Genomic DNA, 24,027 nt, shown 5'->3' with positions numbered 1-24,027 from the left:
AGGAACAGCAAAATAAAATAAACAGCCCCATTAAAAAGGAGGCAAGGAATATGAATAGACACTTGTCAAAAGAAGACATACAATGGCCAACATGTGTATTAAAGAAACTCCACATAACTAATTGTCAGAGAAATGCAAATTAAAACCACAATAAGATATCATCTTACCCCAGTCAGAATGGCTATCACTAAAAATGTCAAATATAACTGATGTTAGCAAGGCTATAGAGGTAAGGGAACTCTTATACACTGTTGGTAGGAAGGTAAATTATTACAACCATTGTGAAAAATAATATAGAGGTTTCTTGAAGAGCTAAATATAGAACTACAGTTTGTTCTAGCAGTCTGACTCGTGAGTATCTACCCAAAGGAAAATAAATCAATATAGGAGATAGAGCAAGATGCCTGAATAGAACATTTCAGTGATCATTTTCCCCACAAGAACACTGTATTGAACAACTATTCACAAAAGAAAGTACCATCATAAGTTGCAGAACTCAGGAGTATAACCACAGTGCCTGGTTTTTACATTATATCAAACAGAAGCATTGAAAGAGGTAGGTAAGACAGTCTTAAATTGCCTACACTGCCTCCTCCTATTCCCTGTCAATGCTGTGTGGCATGGAGAAAGAATCTGTGTGTTTGGGAAAGTGAGAGCAAAGTGATTGGAGGACCTTGGGTTGGAATTCAGGGCTGCCTGTCACAGCCAAACTCTTTCCATTTGAGGGGAGAAAAAAAGGGAAGATAATGAGGACTTTGTATTGCAACTGGGACACCAGCTCAGCCACACTAAAATAATGCACCACATAGAGTTCTGAAGTCCTGATTCCAGGCCCTAGTTCCCAGAAGACATCATCTACTGACTAAGGAGCCCATCATCCTTGAATAAACATTGGCAGTTTCTAGGCAGTAGTCACCACAGGCCTGAGAAGACTGTGGAAATTGAAAGAAACTCCTTCTGCTTATGTAAAGGAGGGAGAAAAGTAAAGATGACTTTGTCTTACAACTTGGGTACCAGCTCAACCACAGTAAAATAATGCAATAAGTAGATTGTGAAAACCCCTGATTCCAGGCGCTATCTCTTGAATGGCATTTCTAGATCTATCCTAGGCCACAAAGAAACCTGCTGCCCTGAAAGGAAAGGCCCAGTACTGGAAGGATTCCTCAGTCATCGCCATAGGACTTGGGTAAGATTCAGTAAACTGCTGGCTTAAGGTATGACCCAACGTAATCACAGAGGTGGTGGCCACAAGAAAGCCTGCATTATTCCTACCCAACTTCAGGCAGCTTAGCACAGAAGAGAGACTAAATATTTTTGAGGAAAACTAAGAGAAAAGAACAACAACAACAAAAATCTGTCAGGTAATCCAGGGAATTCTGGATCTTACCCAACACCACCAAGGCAGTACTTTAATAAGTCTCCGAGAGTCACAGCATTACTGGGTTTGTGGCTTGGCCCTAATGCAGATATAGTTGCAGTGGCAAAAAAAAAGGTAGATCATAATACTCAAATCTCTGAATACCTGATAAGCCTTCTATAAAAGGACAGAAACAAAAATGCCCAGGCTTCAAATATTAGAATACATAACAGATTCTTCAGTGTCCGGGTCTTATAAGCATCAAGACCATCCAGGAAAACATAACAGAACTTAACATGTAGAAGAAAGAATTAGTTAGATTGCAGACAGGCTATGTGAAAATACAGAGTCAGAGGAGACAAAAGAAAAAAATTAAAAAATGAAGCACAGCTACAAGATATAGAAAATAGCCTAAACTCGACAAATCTAAGATTAACTAATCTCAAAGAGGAGGTAGAGAAAGAGTTTGGCATTGGCATAGGCAATGTAGTGGCAATGGCATAGGCATAGAAACTATATGCAAAGAGGTAATAACAGATAATTTCAAAACCTAGAGAAAGATATGAATGTTCAAAAACAAGAAGGTTGTAAAACACTAACTAGATTAAATTTACTTAAGAATACCTCAAGAAATAGTGTCAACAGGATTGCTACAATTTCTTCTTTGAAAGTCTGCTAGAATTCTGCCATGACTCCATCTGTTCCTCGACTTTTTTTGTTGGTAATTTTTTATTAAAATTTCAATCTCACTGCTTGTTATTGGTCTGTGCAGGGTATTTATTTATTCCTGATTTAACCTAGTTTATGTGCCTAAAGGCGTTCATAGTATCCTTGTAGGATCTTTTATATTTCTGTGGTGTCAGTTGTAATATCTTCTATTTTGTTTCTAATTGAGTTTATTTGGATTATTTCTCTACTTTTTTTGGATAATCTTGCTAGTGGTCTATCAATTTATTTATCTTTTCAAAGAACCAGCTTATTGTTTCATTTATCTTTTGTACTTTTTTAAAAAAATTCACTTAGTTCTGCTCTGATCTTGGTTATTTCATTTTGTCTGCTGGGTTTGGTTTTGTGTTATCCTTGTTTCTCTAGTTCCTTGAGGTGTGATTTCATTTTTGACAGAATGATCATTCACGAGCAGGTTATTTTATTTCCATCTATTTGCATGGTTTTCAAGGTTACTTTTGGAGTTGATTTCTAGTTTTATTCCACCGTGGTCTGAGAGAGTGCTTAATATAATTTCAATTTTTTAAAACTGAGGTTTGTTTTGTGGCCTATAATATGGTCTATCTTGGAGAAAGTTATATGCACTGATGAATAGAATATATATTCTGGGTTTTTTGGATAGAATTTTCTGTATATACCTGTTAAGTCCATTTGTTCCAGGGTATAGTTTAAATCTATTGTTTCTTTGTGTTTTGATAACCTGTCTAGTACTGTAAGTGAAGTATTGAAGTCCCCAACTATTATTGTGTTGCTGTCTATCTCATTTCTTAGGTCTATTAGTACTCGTTTTATGAATTTGGAAGCCCCAGTGTTAAATGCATAGATATTTAGGATTGTGATATTTTCCTATTGGACAAGGTCTTCTATCATTATATAATGTCACTTTTTCGTTTTTTAACTGCTGTTGCTTTAAAGTTTTTTTTTTGTCTCATATAAAAATAGCTACTCCTTCTTGCTTTTGGTGTTGATTTGCATGGAATGTCTTTTTCCACCTTTTTACCTTAAGTTTATGTGAGTCATTTTGTGGCAGGTGAGACTCTTGAAAGCAGCAGATAGTTGGTTGGGAAATTCTTGTTCATTCTGCAATTCTGGAAGGAAGGAAGGAAGGAAGATGGGAGGGAGGGAGGGAGGGAAAGAGGGAGGGAAAGAAGGAAGGAAGGAAGGAAAGGAGGAAGGAAGCATGGAAGAAAGGAAGGAAGGAAGATGGGAGGGAGGGAGAGAAAGAGGGAGGGAAAGAAGGAAGGAAGGAAGAGGAAGGAAAAATAGTGTAAAAATAATGCTTTATTTGAAATCCAAACAACAAACTTATACATTTGTATTAAATCATTATATTCTATCTAATAACCAACTTAATTATGTAACATTGTTTTCAAATATTGAAAACAATGGAATTAGTATCTGCTAGATTTAAGTGAAAGAGCTTTGGAAATGTATATTTAATCAATTATAAAAAAGAAAAATATGTCCAAAAATGCTTCTGTCCGATTAAGAAATACCATTACATAGAGTAACTTCTAATACATTAATTCCAAACTATCTTTAAGTATTGCTTGACATTATACATAATAAATCTGTGCTAAAAAAGTCTCCAATGTCCAAGAACTTGTATAATATTGAAATGGGCTCAATGTAATAAGAGAAAGAGCAATTTAAATTTCAACACTCAGAAGTCCAAGCCTACTGAGAAAACAACTTATTAGTAAACATCAAATGCTTCCTACAGAGAAACAATTTATTTCCCACAGAGAAAACAACATATGAACAGAAACCTCACTAAATACACAATCTGGTTCTAAGGAGCAGATGCTGATCAATAATTCAATATCTAAAATCAAATAATGAGGGAGTAATGGTAAACATTTATTTATGAAGTAGTAAATTGTGTCTTTGTCTTTCATGTCTAAAAAACAGAAATCTCTACAACATATGCTGTTTCCCTGTTTTCATACAAAATATACATTTAGTAAATTGGAGAGTAATTGTCAACAAAGTGAAATACATTTAAATATATATTATTCACTGCAGGGAGTATTTTCATTAAGAAGAAACTCAATTATTACTTATAATTTACTAACCTGATTGGTAGTAAAATTACTTTTCTGCTAACTCCACCAAGTAATAAACAGGTGAAGTCTGAACACGGAAGAGGGAAGCAGAATATTTTAATTTTGTCTTTCTAGCAATAAGGGCATTAATACATGCCATTTATCATAATTGGTGATACAGTTTTTACTGTTTCTTTCCATGTATTTTTATCTCAAGCTATATTTTGTAGTTGTGTAAAATAATTTAAAACCATGGCCATTAGAGGTAAACCATGTATTACCTCTAATACAATAGGTAATTAAAATACAAGGTGCTGGTCTTGACTTTCTCCAATCTTTGCATGGAAAATTTAACCAATCTGTAAATCTTACACTACAAAACAAACAAACAAACAAAAGCACCCTAATTTACTGATCATGTCTCCACTTTGCAGAGTAGAATGTTCTTGGTTGGCTAGAATCATTCCATAAATATTTATTAAGAACCTATTATGTGCCAGATAGTGGCAGTGTTCAAGTCCACTGAGATATATAAGAGATTACATGTACCACACTGCATAAAGATGCTTCCCCAGGTAGGGTTAACAGTCTAATACAGAAAATAAATAAATAAATACATATAGCAAGCAAGAAGACTTTGTATTATGTTATAAGTTGATAGCGCAAATGGAAAAACGGTATAGTAGGGGTGTTTGTTGTGAGGCAGGAAACAATTTGTTGCATTTTCATTTGGTACAATGTATAATGTCATTGAGGAGGTTCAAAGATGATTGAGATAGACATTCCAAGTATAGAAGTTTATTCCGTGTAAAGGAATAGTCAGAGCACAAATGTAAGTATGCATGAAGTATTAAAACCTTGGGTCCATCATGGTTAGAACCAAGAATACATGGGAAAAAGTATTATGAAATAACATTATTGAAGTAAATAATGGTGAAATTAGGCAAAGTATTGTAGTCTTTTTTTTTTTTTTTTTTTTTTTGAGACGGAGTCTCGCTCTGTTGCCCAGGCCGGACTGCGGACTGCAGTGGCGCAATCTCGGCTCACTGCAAGCTCCGCCTCCCGGGTTCACGCCATTCTCCTGCCTCAGCCTCCCGAGTAGCTGGGACTACAGGCGCCCGCCACCGCGCCCAGCTAATTTTCTGTATTTTTAGTAGAGATGGGGTTTCACCTTGTTAGCCAGGATGGTCTCGATCTCCCGACCTCATGATCCACCCGCCTCGGCCTCCCAAAGAGCTGGGATTACAGGCGTGAGCCACCGCGCCCGGCCGTATTGTAGTCTTTTTAATGACTTTTTTTCTGAGTTAAACCGGAAACTATTGTAGGATTTTGAAAAGAGACTACCATGATCTGACTCACTGTTTTTTTGTTTGTTTTGTTTTTGTTTTTTTGTTTGTTTGAGACACAGTCTTGCTCTGTCACCAAGCTGGAGTGCAGTGGGGCGATCTCGGTTCATTTGCAACCTTCACTTCCCAGGTTCAAGTAATTCTCCTGCCTCAGCCTCCCAAGTAGCTGGGACTACAGGTGTGTGCCACCAAGCCCAGAAATTTTTTGTATTTTTTAATAGAGATGGGGTCTCACCATGTTGGCCAGGGTAGTTTTGATCTCTTCACTTCATGATCTGCCCACCTCGACCTCTGAAAGTGCTGGGATTACAGGCATGAGCCACTGTGCCCAGCATGTGCTTTTTTGAGGGTGTGTGTTTGTTTGGGTTTTTATTTTTTTTAAACACATTAAAAACTTGATACTATGTGGAGAAGATTATGTACGGACAAGGGTTGAAGAAAGTACTGTTTGCTAGTAGGCTATTTCAGGCAATTAGGTGAATGGTAATTGTGTTTCGTCAGATTTGTAACAGTGGGAATAGTGCAATGAAGTCACTATGTATATATATTGTGTATATATTATGTATATTGTCATGCATTTATAAATATTTATAAATTATACATATGTATTAAAAGTCAAAAATTGCTTTTGGAATTTTTAATTATTAATTAATTTTAAAAAGTTTTGGTGGGTACATAGTAGGTGTCTATATTTATGGGGTTCTTGAGATGTTTTGATATAAGCATTTGATGTGAAATAAGCACATCATGGAGACTAGGGTCTCCATCTCCTCAAGCATTTATCCTTTAAGTTAAAAACAATCCTATTACGTACTTTAACTTATTTTGAAATATACAATTAAGTTATTATTGTCTATAGTCACCATATTGTGCTTTCAGACTGTAGGTTTTATTCATTCTTTCTATTTTTGTACCCATTAAACATCCATGCCTCCCCTCAAAATCCCCACTACCTTTTCCAGGCTCTGGTAACCACCCTTCTACTTTTTATTTCCATTAGTTCAATTGATTTAATTTTGGGATCTCACAAATAAGTGAGAACATGTAATGTTTGTATTTTTATGACTGGCTTATTTCACTTAACATTATGATATCCAGTTCCAACCATGCTTTTGCAAATGACAGAATCTCATTCACTTTTGTGGGTGAATAGTACTCTACTGTGTATATGTACCATATTTCCTTTATACATTCATCTGTTCATGGACACTTAGGTTGCTTCCAAATCTTAGCTATTGTAAACAGTGCTGCAGCAAATATGACTGCAGATAGCTCTTCAATATGATGATTTCCTTTCTTTGGGGTATGTACCCAGCAGTGGTATTTCTGAACCATATGTTAGCTCAATTTTTAGATTTTGAGGAACCTCCAAACTATTATCCATAGTAGTTGTGCTAAATTTCATTTCCATCAACAGTGTACAAGTGTTCCCTTTTCTCCACATACTCATCAGCATTCATTATTGCCTGTCATTTGGATATAGACCATTTTAACTCAGGTGATATCATATCTTTTTGAAGTTGTGATTTGCATTTCTCTTACAATCATTGATTTTGGGCACTTTTGCATATGCTTGTTTGCCATTTGTATGTGTTCTCTTGAAAAATGTCTATTTGAATCTTTTGCCCATTTTGATTGAACTTCTAGATTTTTTTCTATAGAGTTGTTAGTGCTCCTTATGTATTCTGGTGATTAATCCCTTGTCAGGGGGGTAGTTTGCAAACATTTTCTCCCATTCTGTGGGTTGTCTCTTCACTTTTTCGATTATATCATTTGCTGTGTGAAAGCTTTTTAACTTGTTGGCATCTTGTTTTTCCATATTTGCTTTGGTTGCCTGTGTTTGTGGGATATTGCTCAAAAAATCTTTGCCCAGATTAATGTCCTGCAGATTTTCCCCAGTGTATTATTGTAATATTTTTGTAGTTTGAGGTTTATATTTGAGATGTTAATCAAATTTGATTTTATTCTTGTATAAAGCAAGAGATAGTGGTCCAGTTTTATTCCATTGCTTATGGCTATCCAGTTTTCCCAGCACTATTTATTAAAGAAACTGTTTTTACCCAGTGCATATTCTTGTCAACTTTGTCAAAAATGTGTTCACTGTAGGTATGAATTTGTTTTTGGCTTCTCTATTCTGTTCCATTGGTCTATATGTCTGTTTTTATTCTGTTCCATTCTGTTCCATTGGTCTATATGTCTGTTTTGGTTACTATAGTTCTATAGTAACTATACTATACTATAGTTCTATAGTATAATTTGAAGTCAGGTAATTTGATTTTTGCGGTGTTTGCTTGTTTGTTTGTTTTGCTTATAGGTATTCAGGGTTCGTTGTGGTTCCATATAAATGTTAGGGTTGTTTTCTCTACTTATGTGAAGAATGTCATTGGTATTTTGATAGGGATTGCATTGAATCTATACATCGCTTTGGGTAGTATGGACAATTCACAATATTGATTCTTCCAGTTTATGAACATGGAATATTTTTTCCATTTTTGATGACCTCTTCACTTTTCTTTATTAATGATATATAGTTTTTATTATAGAGATTATTCACTCCTTTGGTTATTTTCTAAATATTTAATTTTAAGTGTGGCTATTATAAATTGCATTACTTTTTTTCTTTCTTTTTCACATTGTTCACTGTTGGCATATAGAAATGCTACTAATTGCTGTATGTTGATTTTGTATTATGCAATGTTACTGAATTTGTTTACCACTTTTAGTAGTTACCTTGTGAAATCTTTACGTTTTCTCAAATATAAAATCGTATCATCTACAAACAATGACAATTTGACATTTTTTTGTCAAATTTAGATGCCCTTTGAATCTTTATCTTGTCTGGTTGCTCTATCTAGAATTTCCAGAGTTATGCTGAACAACAGTGGTGACATTGGACATCCTCATTAACTTCCATGTCTTAGAAGGAAGGTTTTCAAGTTTTCCTTATTTAGTATGATACTAGCTGTGGGTCTGCCATATACAGCTTTTATTATTTTGAATTATGTCCTTCTATACCCAGTTTGATGAGGGTTTTTTATCATGAAGAGATGTTGAATTTTATCAAATGCTTTTCCAGCATCAATGGAAATTATAATATGATTTTTATTCTTCATTCTGTTGATATGATGTATCATGTTGATTAATTTGCAAATATTGAAACATCCTTGCATCCCAGAAATAAATACCATTTGGTCATGATTAATAATCTTTGAAATGTATTGTTGAATTTGATTTGCTAGGTTTTTTGTTTGTTTGTTTTGTTTTAGGATATTCACATCAGTATTTATCGGAGATATTGGCCTGTAATGAATGTTATTGCTGTTGTTGTTTTGACACGTTTTTGTCTGATTTTGCTGTCAGAGTAATACTAGCCTCAGAGAATGAGTTTGGAAATATTCCCTCCTTTATTTTTTGTAATAATTTGAGTAAGATTTATATCAATTCTTATTTAAGTGTTTTTTAGAAATCGTCAGTGAAGCCAGTAGGTCTCAGAAATTTCTTTATTGAAAGATGGTTTATTACAGCTTTGAATTTGTTATTGGTTACTGGCTTTTTCAGGTTTTTAATTTTTTCCTGGTTCAATCTTGGTAGATGGTGTGTGTCTAAGAATTCGTTTATTTCTTCTAGAGTTTCCAATTTATTGGCATATAGTTGCTCATAGTAGCCACCAATGAGCCTTTGAATTTCTGCACTATCAGTTGTAATGTGTGCCTTTTCATTTCGGGATTTATTTATTTAGATATTCAATCTTTCTTTCTTAGTCTGGCTTAAGGTTTGTCAATTTTGTTTAAATTTTCAAAAAACATCTTTTGATTTTATGGATTTTTTATTTCAATTTTATTTATTTCTGCTCTAATCTTTATCATTTTTTTCCTACTAAGTTTGCTCTTGCTTTTCTATTTCTAAAGATGAGTTGTTGGATTGTTTATTTGAAGCTCTTCTGTTTTTTCGATGTAGGTACTTGTAACTATAAACTTCCCTCTGAATACTGCTTTTGCTCTATCCCATAGGTTTTGATATTTTTTTCATTATCATTTATTTCAATAAATTTTTTATCGGCTTCTTAATTTCTTTATTGACCTACTGCTAATTTAAAAGCATATGGTTTAATTTCCTTGCATTTGTGTAGTTTCCTAAATATTTATTGTTACTAATTTTTAGTTTCATTTCATCATGGTCAAGGATGATGCTGCATATTATTTCAATTTTGTAGAGTAGTTTAATACTTGTTTGGTAACCTAACATATGGTCTATCCTTGAGAATGGTCCATGCACTGAGAAAAATACTGTGTATTTGTATCTCTTGGATGAACTCTCCTGTAAATATTTGTTAGATCCATTTGGTCTATAGTGCAGATTAAGTCTGATGTTCTTTTGTTTATTTTCTGTTTGGAAGATTGCCCATTGCTGAAAATGGGGTGTTAAAGCTTTCAGCTATTATTGTATTTGGGCCTATCTCTTTCTTTAGCACTAATAATATTTACTTCCTGTATTTGTGTGGTCCCATGTTGGGTGCATATATATTTAAAATTGTAATATCTTCTTCCTGAATTGACCCCTTTATCATTATATAGTGACCTTCATTGTCTCTTATAGTTTTTGTCTTGAATTCTGTGTTGTCTGTGCTTTTTTGGTTTCCATTGGCATGGAATATCTTTTTTTCATTTGTTTATTTTTAATGTATGTGTGTCTTTATGGGTGAAGTGTGTTTCTTGTGGACAACAGATCAATGGATCTCATTTTTTCATGCATTTAGCCGGTCTATGTCTTTTGATTGGAAAATTTAGTTCATTTACATTTAATGTTATTATCGATAAGAACTTACTCCTGCCATTTTATTTTCTGTTTCTTTTGTGGTCTCTTTCTTTTTTTCATTTCTATCTTCTCTAGTGAAAATGATTTTCTTGGTGAGATGATTTAGTTTCTTGCTTTTTATGTGTTACATATCCATTGTATGTTTTTTGGGTTGAGGTTACCATGAGGCTTACAAATACTATCCTATAACCCATTATTTTAACCAGATAAAAACTTTTCACTATTTGCATAAACAAGCAAGAATCAAAAAGGAAACTTATGAAGAGTCTTCTTAACTGTTTCCAACTTTTTAACTTTTTATTGTTTCTATTTATATCTTTCATACTATGTCTTGAAAAATTATTGTAGTTACTATTTTTAATTGATTCATTGTTTATTGTTTATTCTTTATAATTAGGATAAACATAGTTTATACCCCACAGTTACAATGTTATAATATTCTGTGTTTTTATGTATACTTACTGTCACGGATAAGGTTTTTTAACCTTTATGTGATTATTTATTCTTCATTAATGTTCGTTTCTTTCTGATTGAAGTACTCACTTTAGGACTTTTTTTGTAGAATGAGTTTTGGTCTGGTATTTATGAAATCCCTCAGATTTTGTTTGTCTGGAAATGTCTTTATTTCTTATTCATGTTTGAAGGATATTTTTGTTGGATATACTATTCAGGTGTTAAAGTATTTTTTCTTTAGCACCTTGAATATGTCATGCCACTCTGTCCTGGCCTGTAAGGTTTTCTCTGAAAAGTCTGCTGCCAGATGTATTAGAGCTCCATTTCATATTATCAGCTTGTATTATTTCGCTGCTTTTAGGATTTTTTTTTATCATTGATCTTTGGGAGTCTTATTATTAAATACTTTGAGTTACTTTTGTTGGGGTTAAATCTGCTTGGTGTTTTATAATCTTCTTGTACTTGGATATTGATATATTTCTCTAGCTTTGGGAAGTTCTCTGTCATTATCCATTTGAATAAACTTACTATCCCTATCTTTTTATTTACCTCCTCTTTAAAGCCAGTAATTCTTAGATTTGCTTGTTCTAGTCTATTTTGTAGATATTGTAGGTGTGTTTTATTGTTTTTTTTTCTTTTGTCTCCTCTGACTGTATATTTTCAAATAGCCTGTCTTAGAGTTCACACATTCTTTCTTCTGCTTGATCTATTCTGCTATTACAGGACTCTGATGGATTATTCAGTATAGCAATTGCATTTTCAGCTCCAGAATTTCTGCTTGATTCCTTTTAATTATTTCAATATATTTGATAATTTTGTCTGATAGAATTCTGAATTCCTTCTCTGTGTTATCTCGAATTTCTTTATTTCCTTAACACAGCTATTTTGAATTCTGTGTCTGAAAGGTCACATATTTGTTGCTCCAGAATTGTTCTCTTATACCTTATTTAGTGACCTATATGTTGAGACCATGTTTTCCTGAATGGTGTTGAGGGTAGCAGATGTTCTTTGATGTCTGGCCATTGAAGAGTTAGGTATTTATTGTAGTCTTCACTGTCTAAGCTTATTTGTAGTTATTTTTCTTGGGAATGCTTTACGTGATGTGATCTAAGCTGTTTATGCTTTAGGGGGCACCCAAAGCCCAGTAACACTGTGGTTTTGCAGACTCATAGAGGTACCATATTAATGATCTTGAATAAGGTCTGGGAGCATTTTCTGGATTACCAGGCACAGTCCCTTGTTTCTTCTCTCAACCATAAAGAGCTCCCCGCCCCCCCGCCTTCTCTCTCTCTCTCTCTTTGTTCTGAGTCACTTAAAGTTGTAGGTGGAGTGACATAAACACCTCTGTAGCCATCACCACTATGACTGCACTGGGTCAGAGATGAAGCCAACATAGCTCTGTGTCTCACCCAAGGCCTGCTGTAACCACTCCCTGGTACTGCCTGTGTTCACTCAAGGTCCCGGGGCTCTACAATCAGCAAGTACCAAAGCCAGCCAGGCTGATGTTTTTCCCTTCGGGGCAATGAGGTCCCGCAGGACATGGGTGGGCCCTGAAATACCATCAGGACTCAGGGCCTAGGATAGAAAAACTTAAGAGTCTCCCTGGTTTTCTATTGTGTTGGGACTGAGCTGGCACTCAAACTGCAACATGCAGTTCTTCCCATTCTTCTCTCCCCTTTCTACAGACAGAGGAACCTCACTTCATAGCCAACACCCACTCTGGCCACAGGGATTAGTACCAGACTACCACCAATGTCCTCTTAAGGCCCAAGGTCTCCGAAGTCAGTTTGTGGTGAATCCTTCCTGGCCTGGTACTCACCCTTCAGGGTAGTGGGCACCTCTTTGGTCCAGGGCAGGTCACGAAATGCCATCCAAGAGTCAAGTCCTGGAACCAGGAACCCCAAAGCCACCTTTGTACTCTACCCCCCATGGTGGTATTGGTAACTTAGGTGCAAGGCAAAATTCCCTTTTACTTTTCCTTCTGCTTCTCTCAATCAGAAGGAGTTTTGCCCCATAACCACCACAGCTGGTAACCTGAAGTCAGAAAGTCTCAGAGGCTCACCAAGGCCCTTGATGTAGTACCTGGGAATACCTGGGTCTCCTCACATAGCAGGTGATAAATGCTGGCAGGTCTGGGTCCTTTCCTTCAAGGCAATGGCATCCCTTCTGGCCCAGAGTGTATCTAGAAATGTTATCTGGGAGATGGGGCCTGGAATGGGGGCCTCACAACTCCAACTGTTGCCCTGTCTTGCTGTGGCTGAGCTGTTATCTAGATGTATAAAAAAGTCCTCTCCACTTTTCCCTCTCCTCTCCCTAAGCAGAAGACAGGGGTCTCTTTTGGAGCCTTATGTTGTGCAGCTTGAGTCTAGGGAATGGGTGATGCCAGCAATCCCTTGGCTGCCACAGCTGGTGTCTCAGTATGTCGTGTCCCCCGACCCTCAGTCCATTGTCTATGGGCCTAGTACAGCCCTAGAATTCAACTATATGTTGCAGTCCTTATGGCCTCGACTGCATTTCAGGTTTACTTAGAGGCTGAGATTATTTTGACCCTTCGTGGCAAGGTTTGAGCACTCAAATCTGGACCACTTGTATCAGCAATTGCTCTCTGACTAGGGATGGTTTAAATGCTCCCGTTGTGGGCAAGCACCTGTTGAGTTTGGTCTGGTTTATGTTTCCGCTTTAACAGGACAGCATTGAATTCAGAGCCTCACAATTGCTGTGTTCTACTTCGCCTAGCAACCAGAGATGATCCCTGCAACATGCTGCTGTTGCTGGGAGTGGGAAAGAGGTGGCATCGGCGGTTCAAGACTGAGTTTTCTATCTCTTCAGTGCCTCTTTCAACAATGAAGATCAAACCAGGTACTGAGGTAGTGGGAGTGCTCATCTAGTTTTTGGCTTTTAGTAAGTTGTTTTTTCTCCATAGATAGTCATTAATTTGGTGTGCTTGATGGGAGGCTGATTAGTGGAACTTTCTATTCTGCCATCTTGCTCTGCATCCAGCCCCTACTTTTGGATTAGATGTCTGGTATGTGAGATAAAAATACCTAAATGACCCTAAGATCTTGTCTGAGTTACTGGATGGACGAACATAATGTCAACAATGTTAGGAAAGAAATACGAGTTTCAGGTTTCAACATGTTAAATTTGCTCTTTAATTCAGAGGTTGAGTAAGTATTTGATTATGTATTAGAAGTTTAGGAAGCATTCTGGAGTACTTCTTTAATAAAAAGATACTCCTTTGATTGTTCTTCAATAAGCCTGTTCTTTAACCAGGTACTGTGTTTATAGTACAAGTCAGTGTTACATTCAAAGTTTAAATATGTATGATATTTTATTCTGGATAAAATAATGCAAATTTAATATATCATATGAAAGTGTGCTTCTCACTTAGTTTTTTTTAAAATTATAACTGAAGTTCTGAGATACATGTTCAGAACATGCAGGTTTGTTACATAAGTATACACGTGCCATGCTGGTTTGCTGCACCCATCAACCTGTCATCTACATTAGGTATTTCTCCTAATGTTATCCCTCCCCTAGCCTCCCACCCCACAACAGGCTCCGTTGTGTGAAGCTCCCCTCCCTGTGTCCATGGTTCTCACTGTTCATCTCCCACTTATGATTGAGAACACGTGGTGTTTGGTTTTCTGTTCTTGTGTTAGTTTGCTGAGGATGATGGTGTCTACCTTCAGACATGTCGCTGCAAAATACATGATCTCATTCCTTTTTATGGCCGCCTATTATTCCATGGTGTATATGTAGCACATTTTCTTTATCTAGTCTGTCATTGATGGGCATTTGGGTTTGTTCCAAGTCTTTGCTATTGTGAACAGTGCTGCAATAAACATACGTGTGCATGTGTCTTTATAGTAGAATGGTTTATAATCCTTTGGGTGTATACCCATTAATGGGATTGCTGAGTCAAATGGTATTTCTGATTCTAGATCCTTGAGGAATTGCCACAGTTTTCCACAATAGTTGAATTAATTTACACTCCCACCAACATTGTAAAAGTGTTCCTGTTTCTTCATGTTCTCTCCAGCATCTGTTGTTTCCTGACTTTTGAATAATCGCCATTCTAACTGGTGTGAGATGGTATCTCATTGTGGTTTTGATTTGCATTTCTCTAATGACCAATGATGATGAGCTTTTTTTCATATATTTTTTGGCCGCATACATGTCTTCTTTTGAGGAGTGTTTGTTCATATCTTTTGCCCACTTTTTGATGGGATTGTTTGCTTTTTTCTTGTAAATTTGTTTAACTTCCTGGTAGATTCTGGATATTAGCCTTTTGTCAGATGGATAGACTGAAAAAGTATTCTCCCATTCTGTAGGTTGCCTGCTCACACTGATGATAGTTTCTTTTGGAGTGCAGAAGCTTTTAGTTTAATTAGCTCCCATTTGTCAATCTTGGCTTTTGTTGACATTGCTTTTGGTGTTTTAGTTATGAATTCTTTGCCTATGCCTGTGTCCTGAATAGTATTGCCTAGGTTTTCTTTTAGGGTTTTTATGGTTTTAGGTCAAAGATGTAAGTCTTTAATCCATCTTGAGTTAATTTTTGTATAAGGTGTAAGGAAGTGGTCCAGTTTCAGTTTTCTGCATATGGCTAGCCAGTTTTTTCAACACCGTTTATTAAATAGGGAATCCTTTCCCCATTGCTTGTTTTTGTCAGGTTTGTCAAGGATCAAATGGCTGTAAATGTGTGGTGTTATTTCTGAGGCTTTGTTCTATACCATTGGTCTATATGTCTGTTTTGGTACTGGTATCATGCTGTTTTGGTTACTGTAGCCTTATAGTATAGTCTGAAGTCAGGTAGCATGCTGACTTCAGCTTTGTTCTTTTTGATTAAGATTGTCTCAGTTATACAGGCTCTTTTTTGGTTCCATGTAAAATTTAAAGTAGTTTTTTTCTAATTCTGTGGACAAAGTCAATGGTAGCTTAATAGGGATCGCATTGAATATATAAATTACTTTGAGCAGTGTGGCCATTTTCATGATATTGATTCTTCCTATCCATGAGCATGGAATGTTTTACATTTGTTTGTGTCCTCTTTTATTTCCTTGAGCTGTGGTTTGTAGTTCTCCTTGAAGAGATCCTTCACATCCCTTGTAAGTTGTATTCCTAGGTATTTTATTCTCTGTGTAGCAATTCTGAATGGGAGTTCACTCATGACTTGGCTCTCTGTTTGCCCATCATTTGTGTATAGAAATGCTTGTGATTTTTGCACATTAATTTTGTATCCTGAGACTTTGCTGAAATTGCTTATCAGCTTAAGGAGATTTTGAGATGAGACGATGGGGTTTTTTAAAATATACAATCATATCATCTGCAAACAGAGACAATTTGACTTCCTCTCTTCCTATTTGAATACGCTGTCTTTCGTTCTCTTGCCTAATTGCCCTGGCCAGAACTTCTAATACTATGTTGAATAAGAGTGGTGAGAGAGGGCATTGTTGTCCTGTACTGGTTTTCAAAGGGAATGCTTCCAGCTTTGACCCATTTGGTATGATATTGGCTGTGGGTTTGTCATAAATAGCTCTTAATATTTTGAGATATGTTCCATCAATACCTAGTTTATTGAGTGTTTTTAGCATGAAGGGGTGTTGAATTTTTATTGAAGGCCTTTTCTGCATCTTCTGAGAGATAATCATATGGTTTTTGTCATTGGTTCTTTTTATGAGATGGATTACGTTTATTGATAAGCATATGTTGAACAAGCCTTGCATCCCAGGGATGAAGTTTCTTGATCGTGGTGGATAACCTTTTTATTGTGCTGCTGAATTCAGTTTGCCAGTATTTTATTGAGGATTTTGCATCGACATTTATCAGGGATATTGGTCTGAAATTTTTGTTGTTGTTGTGTCTCTGCCAGGTTTTGGTATCAGGATGATGCTGACCTCATAAAATGAGTTAGGGAGGAGTTGCTCTTTATCTATTGTTTGGAATATTTTCAGGAGAAATGGTACCAGCTTCTCTTTGTACCTCTGGTAGCATTCAGCTGTGAATACATCTGGTCCTGGGATTCTTTTGGTTGGTAGGCTATTAATTACTGCCTCAGTTTCAGAACTTGATATTGGTCTCTTCAGGGATTTGACTTCTTCCTGGCTTAGTCTTGGAAGGGTGTATGTGTCCAGGAATTTATCAATTTCTTCCATATTTTCTTGTTTCTTTGTTTAGAGCTCTTTATAGTATTCTCTGATGATAGTTTGTATTTCTGTGGGATCTGTGGTGATATCCCCGTTATCATTTTTTATTGTGTCTATTTGATTCTTCTCTTTTTTCTTCTTTATTATTCTAGCTAGCAGTCTATGTATTTTGTTAATCTTCTCAAAAAAACAGCTTCCAGATTCATTGATTTTTTGAAGGGATTTTTGTGTCTCTATCTCCTTCAGTTCTACTCTGATCTTAGTTATTTCTTGTCTTCTGCTAGCTTTTGAATTTGTTTGCTATTGCTTCTCTAGTTCATTTAATTGTGATATTAGGGTGTTGATTTTAGATCACTCCTGCTTTCTCCTATGGGCATTTAGTGCTATAAATTGCAGTGTCCCAGAGAATTTTGTACATTGTGTTTTTGTTCTCATTGATTTCACATAACTTATTTCTGCTTTACTTTTGTTATTTACCCAGCAGACATTCAGAAGCAATTTGTTCAGTTTCCATGTACTTTTCATTTTTCAGTGAGTTTCTAAGTCCTGAGTCCTAATTTGTGATTGCACTGTGGTCTGAGAGACTTTTGTTATAATTTTTGTTCTTTTGAATTTGCTGAGGAGTGTTTTACTTCCCACTATGTAGTCAATTTTAGATTTAGTGTGATGTAGTGCTGAGATGAATGTCTATTCTGTTGATTTGGGGTGGTTAATTTTGTAGATGTTTATTAGGTCTGCTTAGTCCAGAGCTGAGTTCAAGTCCTGAATATCCTTGTTAATTTTCTGTCTTGTTAATCTGTCTAATATTAACAGTGGGGTGTTAAAGTCTCCTACTATTATTGTGTGGGAGTCTAAGTCTCTTTGTAGGTCTCTAAGAACTTGCTTTATGAATCTAGGTGCTCCTCTGTTGGGTGCATATATATTTAGGATAGTTAGCTCTTCTTGTTGCATTGATCCCTTTACCATTACGTAATGCCCTTCTTTTCTTTTTTGATCTTTGTTGATTTAAAATCCGTTTTATCAGAGTTTAGGATTGCAATGCCCCCCCCCTTTTTTTTTTTTTTTTTAGCTTTCCATTTGCTTGGTAAATGTTCCTCCCTCACTTTATGTTGAGGCTATGTGTGCCTTTGCATGTGAGATGAGTCTTCTGAATTCAACACACCGATGGGTCTTGACTCTATCCAGTTTTCCAGTCTGTGCCTTTTAATTGTGGCATTTAGATCATTTACATTTAAGGTTATTTTGCCCATTAGTTGATTCAGTTTCTTCATAGTGTCAATGGTCTTTACAATTTGGTATGGTTATTCAGTGTCTGGTACCCATTTTTTCTTTCTATATTTAGTTCCATATTGACCCCTACTCTCTTCTAGCTGGTAGGGTTTCTGCAGAGAAATCTGCTGTTAGTCTGACGGGCTTCCCTTTGTTGGTAACCCAACCTTTCTCTCTGACTGCCCTTAACATTTTTTCCTTCATTTCAACCTTGGTGAATCTGACCATTATGTGTCTTGGGGTTGCTCTTCTTGATGAGTACCTTTGTGGTGTTCTCTGCATTTGCTGAATTTGAATGTTGGCCTGTCTTGCTAGTTTGGGGAAGTTCTCCTGGATAATATCCTGAAGAGTGTTTTCCAACTTGATTCCGTTCTCCCTGTCACTTTCAGGTACACCAATCAAACATAAGTTTGGTCTTTTCACATAGTCCCATATTTCTTGGAGGCTTTTTTCTTTCCTTTCATTTTTTTTTCTAATCTTGTCTTTATGCTTTATTTCATTAAGTTGATCTTTAATATCTAATATTCTTTCTTCTGCTTGATTGATTTGGCGTTGATACTTGTGTGTGCTTCACAAAGTTCTCATGCTGAGTTTTTCAGCTCCTTCAGGTCATTTATGTTCCTTTCAAAGCTGGTTATTTTAGCTAGCAATTCCTCTAACCTTTTTTCAAGGTTCTTAGTTTCCTTGCATTGGGTTAGTATATGCTCCTTTAGCTCGGAGTAGTTTGTTATTACCCACGTTCTGAAGCCTACTTCTGTCAATCCGTCAAACTCATTCTCCATCCAGTTTTGTTCCCTTGCTGACAAGGAGTTGTGACCCTTTGGAAAAGAGGCATTCTGGTTTTTGGAATTTTCAGCCTTTTTGTGGTAGTTTTTCTTCATTCATGGTTTTATCTACCTTTGGTCTTTGATGTTGCTGACCTCAGGATGGGGTTTTTGTGTGAAGGTCCTTTTCATTGACGTCGATGATATTGCTTTCCTTTTGTTAGTTTTCCTTCTAAAAGCCAGGCCCGTCTGCTGCAGGTCTGCTGGATTTGCTTGAGGTCCACTCCAGACCCTGTTTGCGTGGGTATCACCAGCGGAGGCTGCAGAACAGCAACGATTGCTGCCTGCTTCTTCCTCTGGAAGCTTTGTCCCAGAGGGGCACATGCCAGATGCCAGCTGGAGCTCTCCTTTCTAAGTTATTTGTTGACCCCTGCTGTGGGGTGTCTTTCAGTCTGGAGGCACGGGATCAGGGACCCACTTGAGGAGGAAGTCTGTCCCTTAGCAGAGGTCAAGCACTGTGCTGGGAGATCTGCTGCTTTCTTCAGAGCCAGCAGGCAGGAACGTTTACATCTGCTGAAGTTGCACCCATGGCCGCCCCTTCCCCCAGCAGCTCTTTCTCAGGGAGTTGGGAGTTTTATCTATAAACCCATGACTGGGGCTGCTGCTTTTCTTTCACAGATGCCTTTCCAAGAGAGGAGGAATCTAGAGAGGCAGTCTGGCTACGTGTCTTTGCTGAGCTGTGGTGGGATCCCCACAGTTCAAACTTCCCAGTGGCTTTGTTTACAGTGTGAGGGAAAAACCTCCTGCTCAAGCCTTAGTAATGGCATTCATCCCTCCCCCTGCCTAGCTCAAGCATCCCAGGTCTACTTCAGACAGCTGTGCTGGCAGCGACAATTTCTAGCCAGGAGATCTTAGCTTGCTGGGCTACGTGGGGGTGGGATCCACTGAGCTAGACCACTTAGCTCTCTGGCTTTACACCCTTTTCAGGGGAGTGAATGGTTCTGTCTTGCTGGCATTCCAGGTACCACTGTGGTATGAAAAAAAAAAAAACAAAAAAAAAACAAAAAAAGAAACCTGCAGCTAGCTCGGTGTCTGCCTTATCAGCTGCCCAGTTTTGTGCTTGAAACCCAGGGCCCTGATGGTGTAGGCACCTGAGGGAATCTCATGGTCTGCAGGTTGTGAAGACCATGGGAAAAGTGTAGTATCTGGGCTGGAATGTACCATGCCTCACAGCATAGTCCCTCATGGCTTCTCTTGGCTAGGGAAGGGAGTTCCTCAACCCCTTGCACTTCTCAGGTGAGGTGATGTCCCACCTTGCTTTGGCTTGTCCCCATGGGGTGCACCCACTGTCTAACCAGTCCCAATAAGATGAGTTGAGTACCTCAGCTGGAAAAGTAGAAATCACCTATCTTCTGTGTTGATCTTGCTGGGAGCAGCAGACCAGAGCTCTATTTGGCCATCTTCAAAGATATGTTAACTAGAACTCAAAACAAATTTGTACAAACATTATATCTGATTACTGAAAATATCTATCCTAGAACATGAATTGTATCACTTTTGTATAGTTTTTTTGTTCCACCACTCATGGCATACATTCTCAATTACTATAGAATTTCAACTTAAGCACAATTATAATTATTAATTTTTACCACTACATGAGGTGTTCTTTAAAAATATTTTATGTATTGCCATTTCTTTATGATTTTAGCTATTATTCTCTAAATTCTTTCACAAATACTCACATGTTTGTGCACTACAGTCATAGGTATTTAGACGATTTATCATTTAATTATGTCACATCCAGCATCATTGTTTTCTGAAGCAGAGCAGTTTCAGAAAAAGTCTGCAAACTTTTCAAAATAAATAAATAAAAATCTCAATATATATTAGCTTCAGGTACTCACAACACAAGTTGAGCTCAATGATTGTAACCCCAAAAAGTACAATTAATACATTCTTTCTTAAGATTCTATTATTTTCCACTGAAATTATTTTTTTTAATTGTGGTAAGATTACTGGACATGAGATATACTGTCTTAACAAATGTTTAAGCATACAGCACAGCATTGTTAACTATAAGAAGAATAATGTACAGCAAAGATTGAACTACAACTCCTTATTTCTCTATCCCCTTAGCTCCTGATGACCAATTGTTTCTATGCATTGGACTATTTTAGATACATTATATGGGTGGAATAATGCCTATTTTTCTTGCTGTGATTGGCTTATTTCACTTAGGATAACGAACTCAAAGTTCATCCCTGTAGTAGGATTTTCTTCTTTTTTAGTTCTGAATATTATATATGTATATATATATATGGAATATTGTGTGTGTGTATATATATATATAATTTTCTTTTATCCATTTATCTGTCAATGGACACTTAGGTGTTTTTCCATATCTTGGCTAGTGTGAATAGTGCTGCATGATCATGGAAGTACAGATATTAATATGATATTCTGATTTCAATTTATTTGGATAAAAACTTATAATTGAGATTGCTTTATCGTATGATAGTCCTATTTTAATCTTTTTAGAAACTCTTTCTCATAGCAGTCACACCACTTTACATTCTCATCAACAATGTAAAATGCTTCCAATTTCTGCAAGTCCTTGCCAAAACTTGATTACTTTCATGTTTTTTTGTCATAGCCATCTTAACGAGTGTGAGGTAATATTTCATTGTGATTTTGATTGTATTTCCCTGATTATCAGTGATGTTGAGCATTATTTTACATACCTGTTGGCTATTTGTATGTCTTCTTTGGAGAAATGTCTACTCGAGTCCTTTGCCTATTTTTATTTTTTTCTGCTTTTGAATCATAGGTGTTCCTTATATATTTTGGCTATTAATCTCTTATCAGGTATATGGTATGTAAATATATTTTTCTAGTTCAGTAGCTTGCCTTTTTACTCTGATTTTCTTCTTTGCTGTGTAGAAGCTTTTTAGTTTGATGTAGTCTTTCTTGCCTATTTCTGCTTATGCAGCCGGTGCTGTTGATTGCCAAGAAAAATGTCATGAAGTTTTTCCCTCTAAGTATTCTTCTAGGAGTTTTACTGTTTCAAAAATCTTTCATTTAAGTCTTTGATAAATTGAGTTGATTTCTGTAAATGGTGTGAGATAAGGTCCAATTTTATTCTTTTGCAGGTGGTAGCCAGTTTTCCCAACTGGGCTTGTTTAAGAGATTATTCTTTCCCCACGGTGTGTTATTGGCACCCTTGTCAAAAATTAATTTACCGTATATAAGTAGGTTTATTTGTGGGCTGTCTATTCTTTCTTATTAGTCTTATCTTTATGCCAGTACCATATTGTTTTATGTACTATAGCTTTGTATTCTATTTTGAAATCAGAAAACGTGAACCTCCAGCTTTGTTTTTATTTCTTAATATTGCTTGGGCTATTTTGGAGTTTTGCTTTTGTTTCCATTTGAAATTTAGAATTATGTATATATATATATATATATATATATATATATATACACACACACATATTATATATATATAATATAATTGTATTTTGATAGAGATAGCACTAACATTGTAGACAACGTTTTAACTTTTTAACAATATTAAGTAATACAGTTCATAATGCCAGGATGTCTTTTATTCATTTGTGTTTTTTTTTTTTATTCAACAGTGTTTTGTAGCTTTCAGAGTACAAGTCTTTCACTGTCTTTCTCGAGTTTATTTCTAAGTATTTTATTCTTTTCCATGCTATTATAAATGCGATTTTTTTTCTTAATTCTGTTTTTGGATAGTTCAGTGTTAGTGTATTAAAATGAAACTGATTTCTGTATTTGATTTTGTATAGTACAACTTTATTTTATTTGTTTATTAGTTCCAACAGTTTATTGGCAGTGTCTTTAGGGTTTCTTACATACAAATCTATGTTATCTGCAAACAAAGGAGATAATTTTTTCCTTTTTGATTTAGATGTATTTTTTTTTCCCGTATTTAATTTCTCTGGCTAGGACTTCAAGTACTATGTTGAATAGAGTGGTGAGAGTGGGCATCCTAGTTTTCTTCTTGATCTTAGGGAAAAACTTTGTTTTTTAATATTCCAAGTAATATTATTTGTGGGTTTGTCATATATGACTTTTATTATGTTGAAATATATTCCTTATATTTCTACTTTGCCTCATATTTCTGTTATGAAAGAGTGTTAACATTTTGTTAAATATATTTTCTGCATCTATTGAGAGGATCATGTGATTTTTATCCTTCACTCTGTTAATGTGGTCTAACATATTGATTGATTTCTGTATGTTGAACAATCCTTGCATCCTAGGGATAAATCCTGCTTGGTCATGGTGCATGTTCCTTTTCATCTCTATTGAATTTGGTTGGCTAGTATTTTGATCAGGATTTTTGCATTTGTGTTTATCTGAAATGTTGGCCTACAGTTTTCATTCTTGTAGTGTCACTGGCTTTACTACCAGTGTTATATGAACATTATAAAATAAGTTTGGAAGTGTGTCCTCCTCTTTGATATTGGAAAAATTTGAGAATGATTACTTTTGATTCTTCTTAAAATGTGGTAGCATTCAGCTATGAGGACATCTGGTCCTGGGTCCTTTGTTGGGAAGTTTGGCTTACTGATTCAATCTACTTAATAGTTATTGGTTTCTTCAGATTTTCTAATTCTTCATGATTCAGTTTTTGTTGATTGTATGTTTCTAGGAACTTATTACTGTCTCCTACGTTGTCCAATTTGTTGGCATATGGTTGCTCTTAGTAGTTGGATCCCTTTTTATTTCTGTTTTCTTTATTTAACTCTCCTCTCATTAACTTAATGTTTGCCATTTTCATTAATTTTTCAAAAAAACATATCTTAGTGTCACCAATTTTTTCTATTGTTTGTCTATTTTAAAAATTTATTTCAACCCTAATTATTATATTTCTATTATTCAACTAAATTTGGGCTTAGTTTGTTCTTTAATATGATTTGGCTGTGTTCCCCCACAACCCCGAATCTCATCTTCAATTGTAGCTCCCATATTCCCCACATGTTGTAGGAGGGACCTGGTGGGAGATAATTGAATCATGGGGGCAGGTTTTCCCCATGCTGTTCTTGTGATAGTGAATAAATCTCAGGAGATACGGTT

The 24,027-nt window shown here is 36.0% G+C and overlaps 2 long non-coding RNA genes across 3 annotated transcripts in view; one reads left to right on the top strand and one right to left on the bottom strand.

Annotated features, from left to right (window-relative positions):
* Positions 1 to 12,648, bottom strand: part of LOC105374188 (uncharacterized) — a 76,972-nt gene extending 64,324 nt beyond the window's left edge. For both annotated transcript variants that reach the window (XR_924654.1, XR_924655.1), the window contains exons 1-2: positions 12,562 to 12,648; positions 3,084 to 3,171 (exon numbers count right to left, since the gene is read on the bottom strand). This is a non-coding gene — a long non-coding RNA (uncharacterized LOC105374188). The remainder of the gene's footprint in view (positions 1 to 3,083; positions 3,172 to 12,561) is intronic.
* An 889-nt stretch (positions 12,649 to 13,537) lies between these two features.
* LINC01192 (long intergenic non-protein coding RNA 1192) overlaps positions 13,538 to 24,027 on the top strand; it is a 126,059-nt gene continuing 115,569 nt past the window's right edge. The window contains exon 1 of the long non-coding RNA NR_033945.1: positions 13,538 to 13,601. This is a non-coding gene — a long non-coding RNA (long intergenic non-protein coding RNA 1192). The remainder of the gene's footprint in view (positions 13,602 to 24,027) is intronic.

The sequence above is a fragment of the Homo sapiens genome, chromosome 3, assembly GCF_000001405.40.
Source record: "Homo sapiens chromosome 3, GRCh38.p14 Primary Assembly".
NCBI classification, from domain to species: Eukaryota; Metazoa; Chordata; class Mammalia; order Primates; family Hominidae; genus Homo; species Homo sapiens.
This window is presented reverse-complemented; position numbering and strand designations above follow the sequence as displayed.